Here is a 15,713-nt window from a genome sequence, read left to right on the forward strand (position 1 = left end):
ACGTCGCCCACGCTGCTATAAAAGGGGTCCCGCGCGACTTCCAAACTCAGCGCCAACCCGCAGAACCAGGAAAGTAACGGCTACAGACAGTGAGAAATAGTTTCGCTCGCCGGCTAGAAAAACTCTGTCGGTACCAACCCCAGAGCGTTGAGAGCAGCCCACCTCCACGCTTCCTTAACGGAGAGGTGCAGGACTCAGACTTCACCAGCCCACTCGGTCCCAGCCTTGTACGCAAAGAGACGCCAAGGACGCGCTCTCCCGCGTCCAGGCAGCCCCAGCTTGCTGGCTTGCCTGCCCGCCTGCGTGCAGCACTCGGCCGGCGTGCAGCATGACCCTGTGGAACGGCGTACTGCCTTTTTACCCCCAGCCCCGGCATGCCGCAGGCTTCAGCGTTCCACTGCTCATCGTTATTCTAGTGTTTTTGGCTCTAGCAGCAAGCTTCCTGCTCATCTTGCCGGGGATCCGTGGCCACTCGGTAAGGGTGTCCTCATAGTGCAGGTAGAGTGGGGGAAGGCTCATGGGCAGATTGTCTCCTGAGGGACCCAGGACAGGTAAGACTGTACAAGAGCCTCCATGAATAGTCGAATTGAGGCTCAGGTGGAGTGAAGTCAGGAGTCTGGTGCAGCAAGCACCCCTTTCCAAGGATAGGGAGAGCTCCCCATCCAGGATATCCTGGAGAAGGACCCCAGCTGGGTCCTTGGGAAGGCTGCTGCAGAGAATGGGCACCCAGTCCAGTAATCCTGAGGAACAGTCTAGGCTTCTTGTGCTGGAGGGCCTCCCACCTCTCCCAGGACTAAAGCTGCACTCTCATCCCATCCGGTGGGTGATGACCTTCAGGCCAAAAGGACAGATGCCAGCAGCTCAGACTGCAGTGTTCCCCTTTGCACTGGGTTGAGACACATGTGTATGGGTGCCTCATCCTCAGGACTGAGACTCCCACATTGGATTAGAAGTTGGAGCCAACTGGGTGCATTGTCTTAGACTTTCCCCCTCTCCCAGAACCTAGGTTGTGCATTTTTCAGTTCTGGGAGGACCCAGCTTTTCTGCATCTTAATCTGTGTTGCTTTCCCTGGAACTGGTGCACCTAGGAGTATCTGCATTCCCACCTCCTCCCCTCGGAGATCAGGCTGGGGCCTCCCTCTTCTGAGGGAGGTGACCCCTGCGTGCCTAGCACTTCTGGACTCACTGAGCCTCACCAAGCAGTGACTGGACCAGGAGGCAGAACCAGGACCAGGCGCCAGACAGCTAGGGGAGTGAAGGTGGTGGAAGAGTGCCAGGAAGTGGGGGTGGAGGGGAGGTGCTGTTAGGGTAGATGGGAAATGGGGCTAGGGAGGTGAAAGTGCGTGGTCACAAAATATCAGAAATGCCAGTAGCCCAGAGGGACTTGCAGGAAAAGCGTGCCTAACATTAGTCTCAAAAGTCTGGATATAACTAAAGATCCAGGTGAAGTGGGGTCAAGGGTGGTCTTGGGGACTCTGGTTTGGCAGGGCTCAGGCCTGACCCGGGTGCCTATTCCTGCAGCGCTGGTTTTGGTTGGTGAGAGTTCTTCTCAGTCTGTTCATAGGCGCAGAAATTGTGGGTGAGTGTGTGGTGCAGCCCATGGGGAGAGGACGGGGTGAGGAAGGAGGTGGGCAGAGGGCACCTGGGACAATAGGGAACTGGGGTTGGTTTTCTGCTCCCTCTTCCCACTCTCCAGCTCCTTCTAGGGCCCACTTTTTGGCCCTTACCATGCAACCACATTGGACCTCTAAGTCCCCATCTCTCTGCAGTGTCCCACCTCCCATACCACTCTCTAATTCCATTTTCCCACCCTCATCCCACCCCCACCGTGTGCCTTTCCCTACAGCTGTGCACTTCAGTGCAGAATGGTTCGTGGGTACAGTGAACACCAACACATCCTACAAAGCCTTCAGCGCAGCGCGCGTTACAGCCCGTGTCCGTCTGCTCGTGGGCCTGGAGGGCATTAATATTACACTCACAGGTGAGGGGGCTGGGGCTAAATGAACTCCTGGAGCTGGGAGATCCCCGGTTAGGTGAGTGTGTCAGGGATAGCTGGAGGGCCTCTCACATCCCACAAGCTCAAATAGCTTGTGGTCCTCGTGGATTTGCGTTTTCTCCAACCACCACCGAACCCATTTCTCCCGCCGAGAGCGCCACACCCCCACTTTCCTGTCTGAATCCGCTTAGTTGCGAGGTCTCCGACCGCGGGCAGCCCCATGAGCCCGCCTCACCCCACAGGGACCCCAGTGCATCAGCTGAACGAGACCATTGACTACAACGAGCAGTTCACCTGGCGTCTGAAAGAGAATTACGCCGCGGAGTACGCGAACGCACTGGAGAAGGGGCTGCCGGACCCAGTGCTCTACCTGGCGGAGAAGTTCACACCGAGTAGCCCTTGCGGCCTGTACCACCAGTACCACCTGGCGGGACACTACGCCTCGGCCACGCTATGGTAAGTGCTGGAGGGAAGGCTGTGTGCACGTGTGTGTGTGCCAGGAGCTGGGCCGTATGAGCGGGAGGATGCAGGCCTCGGAGGCGCTGAGCAGCTGCAGCCAGACCCGACGCGCTCGGGGTGGGCATGACAGCCTCGCGGGTTAGAAGATCCACGAGATCTGCACAGACGGAATCCGGAGAGACTCCAGCCACCGCCTGGACCTCAGGAGCCCGCTTCTCCCCCGGGGAATTCCCCTGCACCGCTGCCATCCCAGTCCCTGGCTTTGACGCTGGGGTAGGGATAAAGAAGAGCGCAGCTGTGGGAACCCCGGTGGGCTGGGAGAAGCCCGCTCACAGCGGGTCCCCCCACTCCCCGGCAGGGTGGCGTTCTGCTTCTGGCTCCTCTCCAACGTGCTGCTCTCCACGCCGGCCCCGCTCTACGGAGGCCTGGCACTGCTGACCACCGGAGCCTTCGCGCTCTTCGGGGTCTTCGCCTTGGCCTCCATCTCTAGCGTGCCGCTCTGCCCGCTCCGCCTAGGCTCCTCCGCGCTCACCACTCAGTACGGCGCCGCCTTCTGGGTCACGCTGGCAACCGGTGAGGACCGAGAGAATGGGCCCCGGGGGCTAAGGGTGGAGACAGGATTCACACCGGGTGTGCACTTTCCAGTTTACAGAATGAATTCACATCTATTACCCTATTTGCCCCTCTCAATAGTTCGCAGAAACAGGCACTGTTATGACCATTTTACAGATGAAAAGTGGGGGGCTCAGAAGGGTTTGGTGTCTTGCCGTGTTTCATGTAATTCAGATTAGAGGTGTGTGGCGGGAGGTAACACAAGGGGTAGGCTCCAAAAGATGGAAGAAGGCCCGGGCATCACGCCTGTAATCCCAGCACTTTGGGAGGTCGAGGCAGGAAGGTCGTTTGAGGCCAGAGTTCGAGACCAGCCTGGGCAACATAGCCCTGACTCCACATGCCCTCCTTTCTTTCGATCCCCACCGCCACAGGCGTCCTGTGCCTCTTCCTCGGAGGGGCCGTGGTGAGTCTCCAGTATGTTCGGCCCAGCGCTCTTCGCACCCTTCTGGACCAAAGCGCCAAGGACTGCAGCCAGGAGAGAGGGGGCTCACCTCTTATCCTCGGCGACCCACTGCACAAGCAGGCCGCTCTCCCAGACTTAAAATGTATCACCACTAACCTGTGAGGGGGACCCAATCTGGACTCCTTCCCCGCCTTGGGACATCGCAGGCCGGGAAGCAGTGCCCGCCAGGCCTGGGCCAGGAGAGCTCCAGGAAGGGCACTGAGCGCTGCTGGCGCGAGGCCTCGGACATCCGCAGGCACCAGGGAAAGTCTCCTGGGGCGATCTGTAAATAAACCTTTTTTTCTTTTGTTTTTTAAAAACTGTTTTTCCCATTAATTTTCATGGCTTCTCCGCGCCGGGGTCGCACGTCCTCATGAGCTTCGCTGGGCTGGAGACAGCCTAGTACACTCTCCGCAGTGCTGTGAAACCTGATTCTCTGCGTCGACTCCAGAGTAATAGGGGCGCCCTCTAGTGAGGCCGGAGGGACCCTACCAGAGCTAGCATCTTTCTGAACCACCCCAGGGGGACGTTAGGTGGCAGTGATGAGGCAGGTCACCCACTCCCCCGTCCTGGATGCCACTCAGCTAGCCCAGCTGAGTGGGGTGGGAAGGAATAGCGTTTTGGAGTTGATTCCCTAACTTCCCACCTGGCTTCTTGTGAGGTGGTGTTTGAGGGCCAAGGTAGGTGTCAGCAAGGCATAGAAAGATAAATCCCAAGATTCTTGGCAAGTCTTGCAATCTTATGTAGCAAATTTGGGAACTGAAGCTCAAAGAGAATGTGGCATAGTTGGTTAATGTTAGACCTAGGATGAGAAGTTTGGTTTCCCCTCCTTTCCAGTGCTGTCTTTCATTGTACCAAAAGGCCACACAAGCTGGAGAAGTAAAGGAAGAACAAAAGGAACCCAGGAAAAAGGAAAACAAGAGGTGCCGAGGGATGAGAGGAAACCATAGGAGAATCATATGTAACCCCCACCCTGCTGGTGTTATGGGGGTGAAGTTAGGTTTCAGTGAATAGCATCTTGAAGAGGCAAGGCAGCACGGAAAGGCTGGGTTGCTGTGCAGATAAGCTAGCCCCTGCTTGGCCTTATCATGGCAACAGGCTTTATGGACAGGCCCAGCATCTCTTCAGTCCCTTAGGGCTTTTTGTTTTGTTTTGTTTTTTAACATCAGTATATAGAGCCTCCTTTTTCTACTCCGTCTGTAGATTGGTGCTGGGTGTCTGGTAACAGCCACCCTGAGGGCAGTTCTGCTGGTTTTATGGGGCGCCAATGAGGTTTGGAGCCAGACTGGAAGTCCAGGTGGCCTCCACGGGGAGGAATGTTATAAAGCACAATCAGGATCTTTGGGGTGTGCCTCCTTACAGTATGCCTTGGTGGAGGAAGCCTCTGACAGGGGAATGTCCTGGGACTTGGGACTGTCAGCCATGGACCGGTAGCGGGGGCTCAGGAGTCCACCTTCCTCAGGACTCCACTCCAGCATGGGGTCTTCATCCACACTCTGGTTGAAGAAAGCCTTCAGCCTGTGAGGCTGCATCCTGTGGGCCACCGCCATAGCCAGGCCCAGCAGCACACACAGCAGTCCTGGAGATGAGGGCAACAATTGTCCCACCTTAGTGCTAGTAACACCTGCCGAGGATATCTTCCCCTGGGAGTGTCAGAACAACTCTAAGGGAAGCCTAGAGCCCCTGCTTCAGGGCAACTTGGGCTCAGAGAGGTGACTGGCTGAGGGGCATGTGGCTGGTGTGGCTCTGTTGTCCTAAGTTTCCAGACTCCAAGCCCAGTGCTCCTTCTGTTATATCCCGGGAGAGAGAGAGAGAGAAAGGGGGAGAGGGAGAACTCTGAAAATAGGGAGAGAAAAGAAAAAAACCCTGGGGAAGGGCAGGGCACAGAGGAGGCATGAGGAGGCACATGAGGGAGTAGACAGCGGGACAGGAGAGGAGAATAAGACTGCAGGACAATTTAGGGATGTGTAAGGCAGGACAGGGAAGGGTTTAAGAATGGGGACCCAGAGAAGGGTATTTGGAGGAAGCAAGAGGGGACAGGGGGTTGGAAGATTTTAGAAGCAGCTGGGTGAAGAGAGTTAGGGGATGACAGAGACAGAGAAGATACAAGGGAGTGGGCATCTCTGAGGAGGGGGGGGAAGTGGCACTGGGGAGAGAAAATCAGGAGATAAGAGATACAAGAGGGTGGGACTTTAAAGAGGGCAAAGCCATCCTGGCCTCCAGGAACAGACCCTCAACTCTACCGACATGATGCCCCCAGGCCCTCCCTCCCTGGCCTTGAGACTTCTAGTGCTTGTCTTTAGGGCTGGGTCTTACCTGTGGTCAATGTGATCCAGAAGGCAGGCCCATGGTGAGTATGCAGCACAGAAGCGCCCAGGTGCAGGGGACAGGGTGAGGTGAGTGATGTGGCCATGGAGAAGAAGAGCAGAGCCAACAGCTGGAAGATGCCCGTGGCCAATAGCATGTAGCCACCATATACCAGCACAGGCATGGAGAGCATCACATTGGCCAGCAGCCAGCAGAGGAATGCCACCCTGGAGAGCCAGGACCCAGTGAGGACTGGCCCAGGTACTTCTACCTGCTGGTGAATTTGGATGGGCCCAGGCGGAGGTTCAGGGACCCAAGAGTGACCCAAAGATATGAGGTAGGGATTCCTTCCCATGGACTTCCCAAGCCAGCACCATGGGGACTGGTGCCAGGCCACCCCACCTGAGATACCCACATGAGTGGAGGAGAGATGGGTAGAAACCCTGTTCCTGAATCTAGGCTACCAGGGCCTCCACCCCGTCTCCTTCCCATCCTCACCATAGCATGGCTGAGGTGTAGTGTCCCGCCAGGCGGTACTGGCGGTATAGGCCACATGGGCTTCTTGGAGTGAACTTCTCAGCTAGGTACAACACAGGGTCTGGCAGCCCCTTCTCCAGAGCCTTTGCATACTCCTCAGCATAGTTCTCACCCAGGCGCCAGGTGAACTCCTCGTTGTAATTGATGGTCTCATTCAGCTGCTGCACGGGGGTCCCTAGGGCACAAGGCAGCTCTGCTCAGCAGGAACCCAAGGGCCAGAGTGGGGCCTAGGTAGGGACTCACCCACACTGGGCAGAGGGACAGGAAGTGGTCTCAACTGAGAGAAGGTAGCTTCCAAGGCCCTGAATTTCCCTTCCTACCATGCCTCTGACCTCCCACCTCACACATCCTCCCAGCCCCTGTGCCAGGCATCCTATAGCTCTTTGACCACACCAAACATAGATCCCAAAGATGGCAGAGCCTTCCCCCCCACCACAGGTAAGAGCCCTCCCTCACCTGTGAGTGTGATGTTGACTCCACCCAGCCCGACCTGCAGCCCAATATCAGCGCTGATCCACTCAGAACTGAAGGCCTTGTATGATGTGTTGGTGCTGACCTGGCCCACAGACCACTCAGAACTGAAATTCACAGCTGTGGTTGGGGAGTTGGACATATGGGAACTCAGAGATGACTGGGCATTACTAGGTTAGAGTCAGAAGGAGAAATACAAGGGGTCCATGTCTGTTTTGGTCATAACTGGATACCCGTTAACTAGCCAGGGTCTGGCTCATGGTAAGTCTGCCAACCACATGTGTGGGATTTCCCTTGGCCATATTCTGTTTACCTCTTCCCTCCCTTTCTCCCTGCTTTAGGGAGAGTCACTCAGGGAGCTGGGAAGGAAACATGAACCAAAACCATGCCAGGCAAGGCAAACGCAGATAGCTTCAACAAAAACTTTCTTTGAGACGGAGTCTTGCTCTGTCTCCCAGGCTGGAGTGCAGTGGCACCATCTTGGTTCACTGCAACCTCCGCCTCCCGGGTTCAAGCAATTCTCCTGCCTCGGCCTCCCGAGTAGCTGGGATTACAGGTGTCTGCCATCATGCCCAGCTAATTTTTTGTATTTTTAGTAGAGATGGGGTTTCCCCCATGTTGGTCAGGCTGATCTCGAACTCCTGATCTCAGGTGATCTACCCACCTCAGCCTCCCAAAGTGCTGGGATTCCAGGCATGAGCCACTGTGCCCGGCCTCACGGAGACTTTCATCTCTCCTATTTGCCTCATCACCAAACTAAAGCAAACAGCTGTTTCCCATTTCCTCCCTTCCTTTCTGGGGCCCTCTCCCCACAGACATTCATTTTGACCTCCTTTCCCCCGAATAAAAGTGTTAGGAAGGTTGAGGAGATGCATCCAGCTTGTTTTCCAGGGTGACACCTCTCCAGGCAAGGGTAAGAGTGGGGAGATAAGGCCATGGTGAGAGAAGCATATGGGCAGGGTCTGGAAGCCACCCTGAAGCAAGGGCCCACCGCTGTGGGGAAACAAGGAGAGGAGATGCAGGCTGCTGAGGGAGTTGAAGGGATGGAGGCAGCAGCCCAAGTCAGCTGCACTTCGCACTCACCCAGGATTGCAGCCCCGATGAATAAGCTGGTCACCACCCGAAGCAGCCAGAACAGCCTCTGAGTCACAAGGTAGGTGGGTTAAGTAAAGAGTGCCTTCCTTCCACATCTACCCTTCCTGTTTCCAGACTTGGGGGAGGGGCGGGAATTCTAAAGCTGAGATCACTTGGTCAATTGAAATCAGAGTGTCTGGCACATAATAAGTGCTTATGTATTTATGTATGCATTTATTTATTTATTAGAGACAGGATCTCACTCTCTTGCCCAGGCTGGAGGGCAGTGATGCGATCTTATATCACTGCAGCCACTCAAGTGATCCTCCCACCTCAGCCTCCCAAGTAGCTGCAACTACAGATGCACACCATGATGCCCAGCTATTTTTTTTTTTTAAGAGATGAGGTCTATACTATAAACCCAGGCTGGCCTCGAACTCCTGGGCTCAAGCAATCCTCCCACTTCAGCCTCCCAAAGTTCTGGGATTGCAGGCATGAGCCACCATGCCCCACCAGCGCTCAATAGTGAACTGCTGAATCAATGAATGGGGAGCTTTCTGCCTGGGGTCGTGGCTATCTTTTCTCCGCACTGGGGTCTCCTTCCTTAGCCTGGTTGTAGTCAGAGACTCTGAACCCCTCAGCCTGAGGCTGAGGTCTCTCTGGGCTGGGGTCTCCAGGACTGGGTTTCTCACCGTCTTTCCCCGAATGCCAGGCAGGATGACGATGAACGTGGCCAGTGCAGTCAGAAAGATCATGATGATGCTGGCCAAAGTGGTGTCCATCGGGAAGGTTGGCTTGGGGCCAGCATAGAAGGGGAATGTGTGTCCCAAAGTAGCCATCTTGGTGAGGTGGTGCAGGGGGGGCAATGCTGTACAACAACAATAGACATTTATTGCATGCCCTCAATGTACCTGGCACTGTTTTTAGTGCTGGAGATACAGCACAGAATGAGCCAGACTAGGTTCCTCTTCTCTGGAGCTCACATTTTGTGCATCATCAGACTCTGCTATTACCACCGTTCCACTGCCCCTCAGCCATCCATCTCCCCATCTTTTAGGTGACAGAATGAGGGTCTTTGCCATCAGTCTCTGTTGCCCCATTCTCCTCTCTTAACCTCCAGGTTCCATAAGTCAGTGCTACCACCACCCTGGGGGCTTCTCTGTTTCTTCTGGGACTGTCTCAAGAAATAAAATTCTCTTCTCTCTCCTTCAGGCCCCTAGCACAGATAGATCACAGAACATAAAAGGAGCTATATTATCAGGTGAAGGCATAAGGTGAAAGATGGTACAGATTACAAAAAGATTGGCTTTCTTCCTCAGTCCCCAAAGGAACAAAGGCCAGGCAGCTCTCTGCTAAGTATATAATCCAGCCACATCATCAGAGGACTGAATTCCAGACCTAGCACTGCCCACACAGGTCTGTCCAGCTTTCTCAAGCACCCTGGCTCTTGTTCTGGTAACTGCAGAACAGTTGAGCTTCACTGAGTTCACCTAAATAAGCACTGAAGGGGCACCTGCCCTCTATCAGGCAGTGCTGGGGCCAGATGTCCTTCTATTCCACACATTACCAACAATGGCCCTTCTCTTTGATTCAAATTCCCAGGCCAAGTTTCAGCTCAAACGCTAGCTGTGGTCTTCTCTGCCCATCCCCTGATCTGAGAACTTGTTTGACTCTTATTTGTTCTTTTGCAGACAGGATATTGGGAAAATGGTACCTGAACTTAATGTGTTTAGTTAAATCTCAGACAGAATGGATTGCATGACACACTACTATTTTAGCACAAATAAAGGGGAAAAAAAGTCTTGCCAATTAAACCATGGCCACCATTGCTGGTGAGATGTACCTAATTTCAGAGATGTCAGAATGTGAAAAAAAAAAAATGCATCTTAGAGTCAATGATCCCAGTTTTCCTCATTTCATGCAGTGTGATCTGTACTGGGGTTTCAGTTTGCCCAGAAGGCTCCATAATTTAGTCTGACCACACATTGTCTTATTAAGCGTTATAATGAAAGAATAAGCTTGGGAGTCAAGTAGCCCCAGAGGGTTTGAATTCTGCCTCTGCCTCTTGCAAGTTACTTGACCTTTACAGACATCCAGTTTTATTAAAAATTTGAGATAGTAATGTCTATCTTGTAAGCATCATTGTGAGCATGAAATGAGATTGTGTATATAAAGTGCTGAGAATAGTACTGGAAACAAATAAGCTATCAAGTTGGGAAAGAGGGGGCATTTTGTTACTCCATTTATCTCTTTCTTCAATCTCTTTTTTTATTTTAAGTAAATAAAAAATGGAGTACATTTAAATTTTTTATTAAGTTCTTATGTTCCATTATTTTGTTTGTTTGTTTGTTTGAGACAGAGTCTTGCTCTGTCACCCAGGCTGGAGTGCAGTGGCACCATCTTGGTTCACTGCAACCTCCGCCTCCCAGAATCAAGCAATTCTCATGCCTCAGCCACCTGAGTAGCTGGGATTACAAGTGCGGGTCATCACACCCAGCTAATTTTTAAGTTTTTTTTAGCAGAGACGGGATTTCACCATGTTGGCCAGGCTGGTCTTGAGCTCCTGATCTCAAGCAATCCACCATCCTTGGCCTCCCAAAGTGCTGGGATTACAGGCATAAACCACCGTGCCCGGCCTCTCCAATCTTTTTTGAAGAGAACCCTGAGCTGGAATCCATTCTGGGACTAGTTTCTGTTCTTTACTAATATTGTCATATTGGACAGGTAAGCGACAACCTCTTGAGTCCTTGGTTTCTTCATCTGTAAATGGATTTCATAATCCCCAGGTCCCTTTTAGTTCTAATGCTGGGATCCTCCTAATATGCCCTAGCTCCCAGCCTTCCTCTCTCCTTCTAAGCTGGCCACCTTCTTGTGTTGTCTGTGAGAGTAGCATGGTGTCAGGCAAAGAGACAGAAAGACAGACAGTTTTAACTTCTAATCCTGTATTTTGGGCAAGTCACTTAATCCCTGAGTGTCAGTTTTAACATGAACTTTTTTGCTTTTTCTTAACTACTCAACTCTCCCATCCCTGAGGAATAGGCGTCTCTCTTCTCTCCTATTCTGCGAATCCATCCTCCTGGGCTCTAGCCATTCATGCCTGCCTTCTCCACCACCTTTATCATCAGTTGTCCCCCTTCCCATCATAGCGTCCCAGCTTCTTTTTCTCTGCTGGCTCCTTCTCTCAAGGGTATACTGAAATTTTTCCCACCTTAAGAACACACAAAAAAAGAACCTTCTCCCTTGATCTTCTTGGTCCCCTCCAGCTACCATCCTATTTTACTCTATTCCTGTCACAGCCAGGCTTTTGAAAAAACAGTGTATATTGGCATTTCCATTGCCTTATCTCTTCAACCTACCACAATCTGACTTTTCCTCATCCCTGCCTTCTCCATTAGGTCACTAAGTGTTAAATCCAAAGGGCAGTTTTCACTTTTCATGCTTCTTGACCTCTCTGTGGTATTTAACACTGCAGACCATGCCCCCTTTCCTCAAACTTTACCTCCTTACACTTCCATCACACCATGTTCTCCAGGGGCTCCTGCTTTTGGCCATCTCTTTGTGGCTCCTCTACTAGTTCTTTTTCCTCCCTGTTAAATGTTGATGCTCCCCAGGAATCTGTGGTGGCTCTCTTCTTTTAGCAGTATTCCAGATTCCCTGGGCAATCTCATCCATTCCCATGGCTGATGGTTCTCAAATGTCTTCAGGTAGTCCTCCTACCTGAGCTCCAAACTCAAAAGGGCCAACCACCCTGTGGACATTTTCACTTGGATGTTCCCTTGATGCCTGAAATTTTAACAACCCCTCAAATGGAATTCATTGTCTCTGCCCTGCTTTTTATTCTATTGTCTTTGTATGTTTGGCAACATCACCACTGGTCAATCAAATAAGCCAGACACCTGGACCATCTTACCTCCTAAATATTTCTTGAAACTATCCATGCATTTCCTTCTGTACTGCCTCTGCCCTAACCCAAGCTCATCCTCTCTTACCTGGTTCCAAAATAATTTTTTTTCTAGTAAGCCAATATAATCATTTCACTTCTCTGCTCTGGCTAAAATCTCATCTTCTTACTTTCCCACATAAAGTGCTTTATAACCCGGTTCCACCTATACTGTCTCCATCTTTTGCCCAGCCTAGTCTATAGCCATACTGAATGACTGACCTCTCCCTGAATCTGACACGCTCTTTCAAGCCTTCAATACCTTTGGATATGCTATTTCCTCTGCCTGGAATGCACTCACTCTCTTGGCAAATGCCTTTTCACCCTTCAAGTCTCAGTTTGTGTTCCCTCCTCTGTGAAGTTTCCTCTGATGCCACTGGGCCAATGTAGAGGTTCCCACTTTGAACATTCTGATTGCATTTTGAACATACCTTCATGATAACAATGATTACATTGTACTCTAATTGTCTGAACATCTGTCTCCCAATTAGACTGTAATCTCCTTGAGGGCAGAGATTTCATCTTTCCATCTTTGCATCCCCTGGATGTAGAGTATACTAATCAGGCTCTGGATCAAATGAATAAATATGAATGAGTTCCTCTCCCCACAGGTGGCTTCTGATTTTGCACACAAGGGGGAGCTATGCTCCCTTATTGCCCTGTGCTAATAATTCAATATTAACTGAGTGTCACCAATACAGAGCTAAGGACTGGGCACAAAGGGATTTGACTAACCCTGTCAACTTTTAGTAATTTCTCAAAATTTTCAGAAAGCCTCTTCCAATAGTTAGAGTCTCCAAGACTAACAAAGACCCAAACATGAATTTTCATGTTTAATTGAATCAGAAACATACATCTCAATCTTAGCTGAAATGAGTAACTAAGAATTCGTGTATTAAATTATTTTATAAAATATGTGATAGTGGTATTTATTTTAAAGCAGATGTTTACTGACGTAAGAATTCTTTATTTATGACATGTAGACTGAAGCTATTATATTTTTAAATAAAAGTTCATAGGAGGAAGGTCTATAAAATGTAAAATATCTTGGCTAATAAGATAGAAGATAAAGCGAGGCTAACAGCAAGAACACATGTGATACGCTGGAGTTCAAAAAGGAGTATTTTTAATATATGTGAATAAGAGATAATATAATGTATTTTGGTCAGGGTTAAATATTATTCCTGCATTTATTTTAAAGGGAGGTTATAAAAAAATTTACAAGAATGTTTCATTTCTATTAACATGTGCTTAAAAGAAACACTAACAAAAGGCTTTTCGTATTTTAAGTATAGAACAATGTTAACTTATTTCCAGTTCTCCAAAATGTCATATTTATTAAAGATGACAGAAGCAAAAAAACAGTTGGTAAATGAAATTTGCCTTTCTTAATTTCTTCTTGTTCCATTTCATAACTTAGGTCTTCCTTTATTTGCATTGCCTAATTTAAAGTTAATTTTTCATGACCCTGACCCTAATTTTGTTTTCATTATTAAGCTAACAGGGCTCATGCATGAAGAGGTGGGACAGAAATGAGAAGACCCCACACCCCACAGTCCTGCTTTTCCTACAACGCTTGTGTTTCCCTGGGGAACATCTTTCTTTCTGGCTCGTCAAGTAACATCTGACAGTAAAATTAGTTTTAATGTGAGAAAATCTCATATCAATATTAACTTGACCCACTCCTCCCCTACCTCATCACCATGACTAGGATGTATGCACAGTGTACATTGATATAAATAAGCAGACACAAGATACAGTCAAATATGCACCTACAAATTTAGATAAACAGAGACACAGACGCAAGAACCACCCAGACTGTCATTCTCAGTAATATAGACTTCATCCCAGGCCCCTGTGACAAAATTGGGATGCTTTCTCATGGGGTGGGGGGAGTTTCCCACACTTTAGGGTCCTCCTTTCTCACCTGGCCTAGGGAGGAGGAGGCAGCATCCTCCCTTTCCAGGCTCCCTTATGTACTGAAGACTTTCCTTATGCTCAATCTTATTATAGACACAATTACCCAATCCTTACCTACCACAGGTTGAAGTGGAGTTCCTATGTGTGTATGAGAGGTGGGTAAAACATAAAGTTACAATCTTTAAGAAAATTCAGCCTAGAACAACCTCCAGCCTTCTTCATTCAAAGTTATGTGCTAACGTCTTGTGGCCTCTCTTGTAGCCTGACAGGACTTTTTTCCTGAAGTCTTCCCCCTTGCCCACCTCCCCCATCTGCTGGAAACTATAGAGTAAGGGCCACTAATTCTCCACAAGTGGGGAGTGGGTGACATGGCTGGAGTTGCCAAGACCTCTGATTGGTAATGCACAGCTACTGCAATGTGATGCTTTTTTCTCTGATTGGGGTAGACCCCATTAAACGTTTACAGCTGTGGCTAGCTAAGGGGACCCTGTCAGGAACTCCTGTGCTAGACTTTCCTCTTCAAGGAAGGGGTCTGTGTGTACGTGTGTATCTGTGTATGAATGTATATGTGTGTTGTTGCACAAAAATAGGAGTTAAGTGGAGAAATTGAACAAGATCTGAAAAGTGGATTGGAGGCAGGATTCCCCAGTAAGGGCTGATGTGGATAAGGAATTCAAGGGTGCAGAATCATGCAAGCCAAAGTATCCAGACTCGAGTTAAACTGGGATGGCGATTCGATGTCTATAAACCTTGTGGCATTTATGGCCTTAAGAGGTTTTCCTTGCCTCCCCAGTTTCTTACCAAACTCTCTCTTTGAAGAACTCCCACTTGATCCGAACTTGGTCTGGATGAAAGCAGGAAGTGCAGCCCTAGGTGCCAGGGCGGGAGCAAGCACTTCAAGACCCCCTCCAAAATCACCTGGACCGCACAGATCTAAGCAGCCGCATCCCCCACCACCCACACCCGGACCACTATTCCCTACCTTCCCCTCTTCCAAACAGTGCGTGTGTGGCAGCCTGCGCCTCTCGCCTTCCCCCGTGGAACCTCACACGAAGCGCCCCCGGGGGTGTGATTAAAGAGGGAACCAGGTCCCGACGTTCTGTGAACAAACGCGCGCCCTTACTCTCAGTGGGGCTCCCGTCCGACCCCCACTCCTCTCCTAACTCACGTAAGGACCCGGCTGTGACCGGACAAACCGGGTCTGGGGTGCTTCCAGTCACTCTTCAAGTCACTCCCAAACTTCTCAGACTGCACCCGAGGCTCTGCGGCGCCGCCTCCCTCTCCCGGCCTGGTACAGAGAAGGGCTGGGTGCGCCAGGACAGTAGTACCGGGGTCTGCCAGCTCCGCAGAGGTCCCTCCAATCCCCCCTCCTCCTCTGCGCCCCCCCACCCATGCCCAGCAATCCCAGCAGCTCCAGCGCAAACCTAGCGACGCAGTTCCGGGTCTGGCGGGGCGCGGGCGCGGCTCGCAGGGCGGTGGGACCCCCAAGACCTCACGAGGATCCCCGGAGGGAGACGTGACTCCGGGGTCTTAGAGGGGTTTAGGTCGGATGGGTGACTTGCTTTGACGCCTGGCCTGGTCTGTGGGTGGCAGGTGATCGATGGCCTTGGACTTGGAGCCCAGACCCGACGGTGTCGAGAGGATCTGAGGAGAGTCTCCCCTCCCCATACCCTCTCCGCCTCCCACCCTCTCCCCAGCCCCATGGGACTTGTGAAGGCGGACTTGCTTTTTTCGCCGTCCACACAACCGCACTAGCCGGGCCTTCGGCACCGACGGAACATCTCTACCTGCGCCCCGGGAGCCCTCGCCGTCTCACCTCGCGCGCTGCCGTCCGCTGGAAGCACCTCCGCGCCTCCCCAGGCGCCAGACTCCATCCCGCCCCACTGCGCCCCGCCCCGTGGCTGAGCCGAGCCGGGCCGTGCCTTCCCCTCCTCACCCCCAGCCCCGCCCGTCCC

At 51.3% G+C, this 15,713-nt stretch overlaps 2 protein-coding genes across 23 annotated transcripts, besides 1 other annotated feature; one reads left to right on the forward strand and one right to left on the reverse strand.

Moving 5' to 3' along the window:
* Positions 49–4,144, forward strand: DUOXA2 (dual oxidase maturation factor 2). 2 transcript variants are annotated; one of them, XM_017022180.2, is made up of 6 exons: positions 49–475; positions 1,522–1,579; positions 1,847–1,981; positions 2,188–2,452; positions 2,814–3,028; positions 3,439–4,144. In XM_017022180.2, the coding sequence occupies exons 1-6, from the start codon at positions 329–331 to the stop codon at positions 3,630–3,632; spliced, it is 1,014 nt and encodes a 337-aa protein (XP_016877669.1). In that variant the 5' UTR covers positions 49–328; the 3' UTR covers positions 3,633–4,144. The 2 variants fall into 2 exon arrangements, with proteins under 2 accessions (XP_016877669.1, NP_997464.2); NM_207581.4 differs by having other exon boundaries at positions 2,239–2,452.
* On the reverse strand, positions 3,089–15,602 carry DUOXA1 (dual oxidase maturation factor 1). Of its 21 annotated transcripts, none has more exons than NM_001276264.2 (11): positions 15,546–15,602; positions 15,183–15,369; positions 14,741–14,857; positions 8,591–8,766; positions 7,908–7,965; positions 6,810–6,944; positions 6,315–6,528; positions 5,826–6,043; positions 4,870–5,088; positions 3,627–3,792; positions 3,089–3,532 (listed from the first exon to the last, which is right to left on the reverse strand). In NM_001276264.2, exons 4-11 carry the CDS (start codon positions 8,735–8,737, stop codon positions 3,238–3,240), a joined length of 1,452 nt encoding a protein of 483 aa, NP_001263193.1. In that variant the 5' UTR covers positions 8,738–8,766; positions 14,741–14,857; positions 15,183–15,369; positions 15,546–15,602; the 3' UTR covers positions 3,089–3,237. The 21 variants fall into 21 exon arrangements, with proteins under 21 accessions (NP_001263193.1, NP_653166.2, XP_011520485.1 ...); NM_144565.4 differs by having other exon boundaries at positions 15,183–15,338; positions 15,485–15,602; XM_011522183.3 differs by lacking the exon at positions 15,546–15,602 and adding exons at positions 14,560–14,627; positions 14,927–15,062 and having other exon boundaries at positions 3,089–5,088; positions 15,183–15,270.
* Positions 3,692–3,891: an enhancer, noted in NCBI's record as "active region_9349". NCBI's record gives its function as "activates an Ori minimal core promoter by ATAC-STARR-seq in GM12878 lymphoblastoid cells {active_cell/tissue: GM12878}" and the evidence as "EXISTENCE:reporter gene assay evidence [ECO:0000049][PMID:35858748]".

Source organism: Homo sapiens, chromosome 15 (genome assembly GCF_000001405.40).
Source record: "Homo sapiens chromosome 15, GRCh38.p14 Primary Assembly".
NCBI lineage: Eukaryota > Metazoa > Chordata > Mammalia > Primates > Hominidae > Homo > Homo sapiens.

Excerpts from the sequence above, each read along its gene's own strand:
- DUOXA2 (XM_017022180.2), top strand. The coding sequence starts at position 329 with ATGACCCTGTGGAACGGCGTACTGCCTTTTTACCCCCAGCCCCGGCAT. Across the intron at positions 476-1,521 it reads CGGGGATCCGTGGCCACTCG|CGCTGGTTTTGGTTGGTGAG; the intron begins GTAAGGGTGTCC and ends CTATTCCTGCAG. Across the intron at positions 2,453-2,813 it reads TACGCCTCGGCCACGCTATG|GGTGGCGTTCTGCTTCTGGC; the intron begins GTAAGTGCTGGA and ends ACTCCCCGGCAG.
- DUOXA1 (NM_001276264.2), bottom strand. The coding sequence starts at position 8,737 with ATGGCTACTTTGGGACACACATTCCCCTTCTATGCTGGCCCCAAGCCA. Across the intron at positions 7,966-8,590 it reads CTGGCATTCGGGGAAAGACG|AGGCTGTTCTGGCTGCTTCG; the intron begins GTGAGAAACCCA and ends CTTGTGACTCAG. Across the intron at positions 6,044-6,314 it reads TACACCTCAGCCATGCTATG|GGTGGCATTCCTCTGCTGGC; the intron begins GTGAGGATGGGA and ends CTGGCTCTCCAG.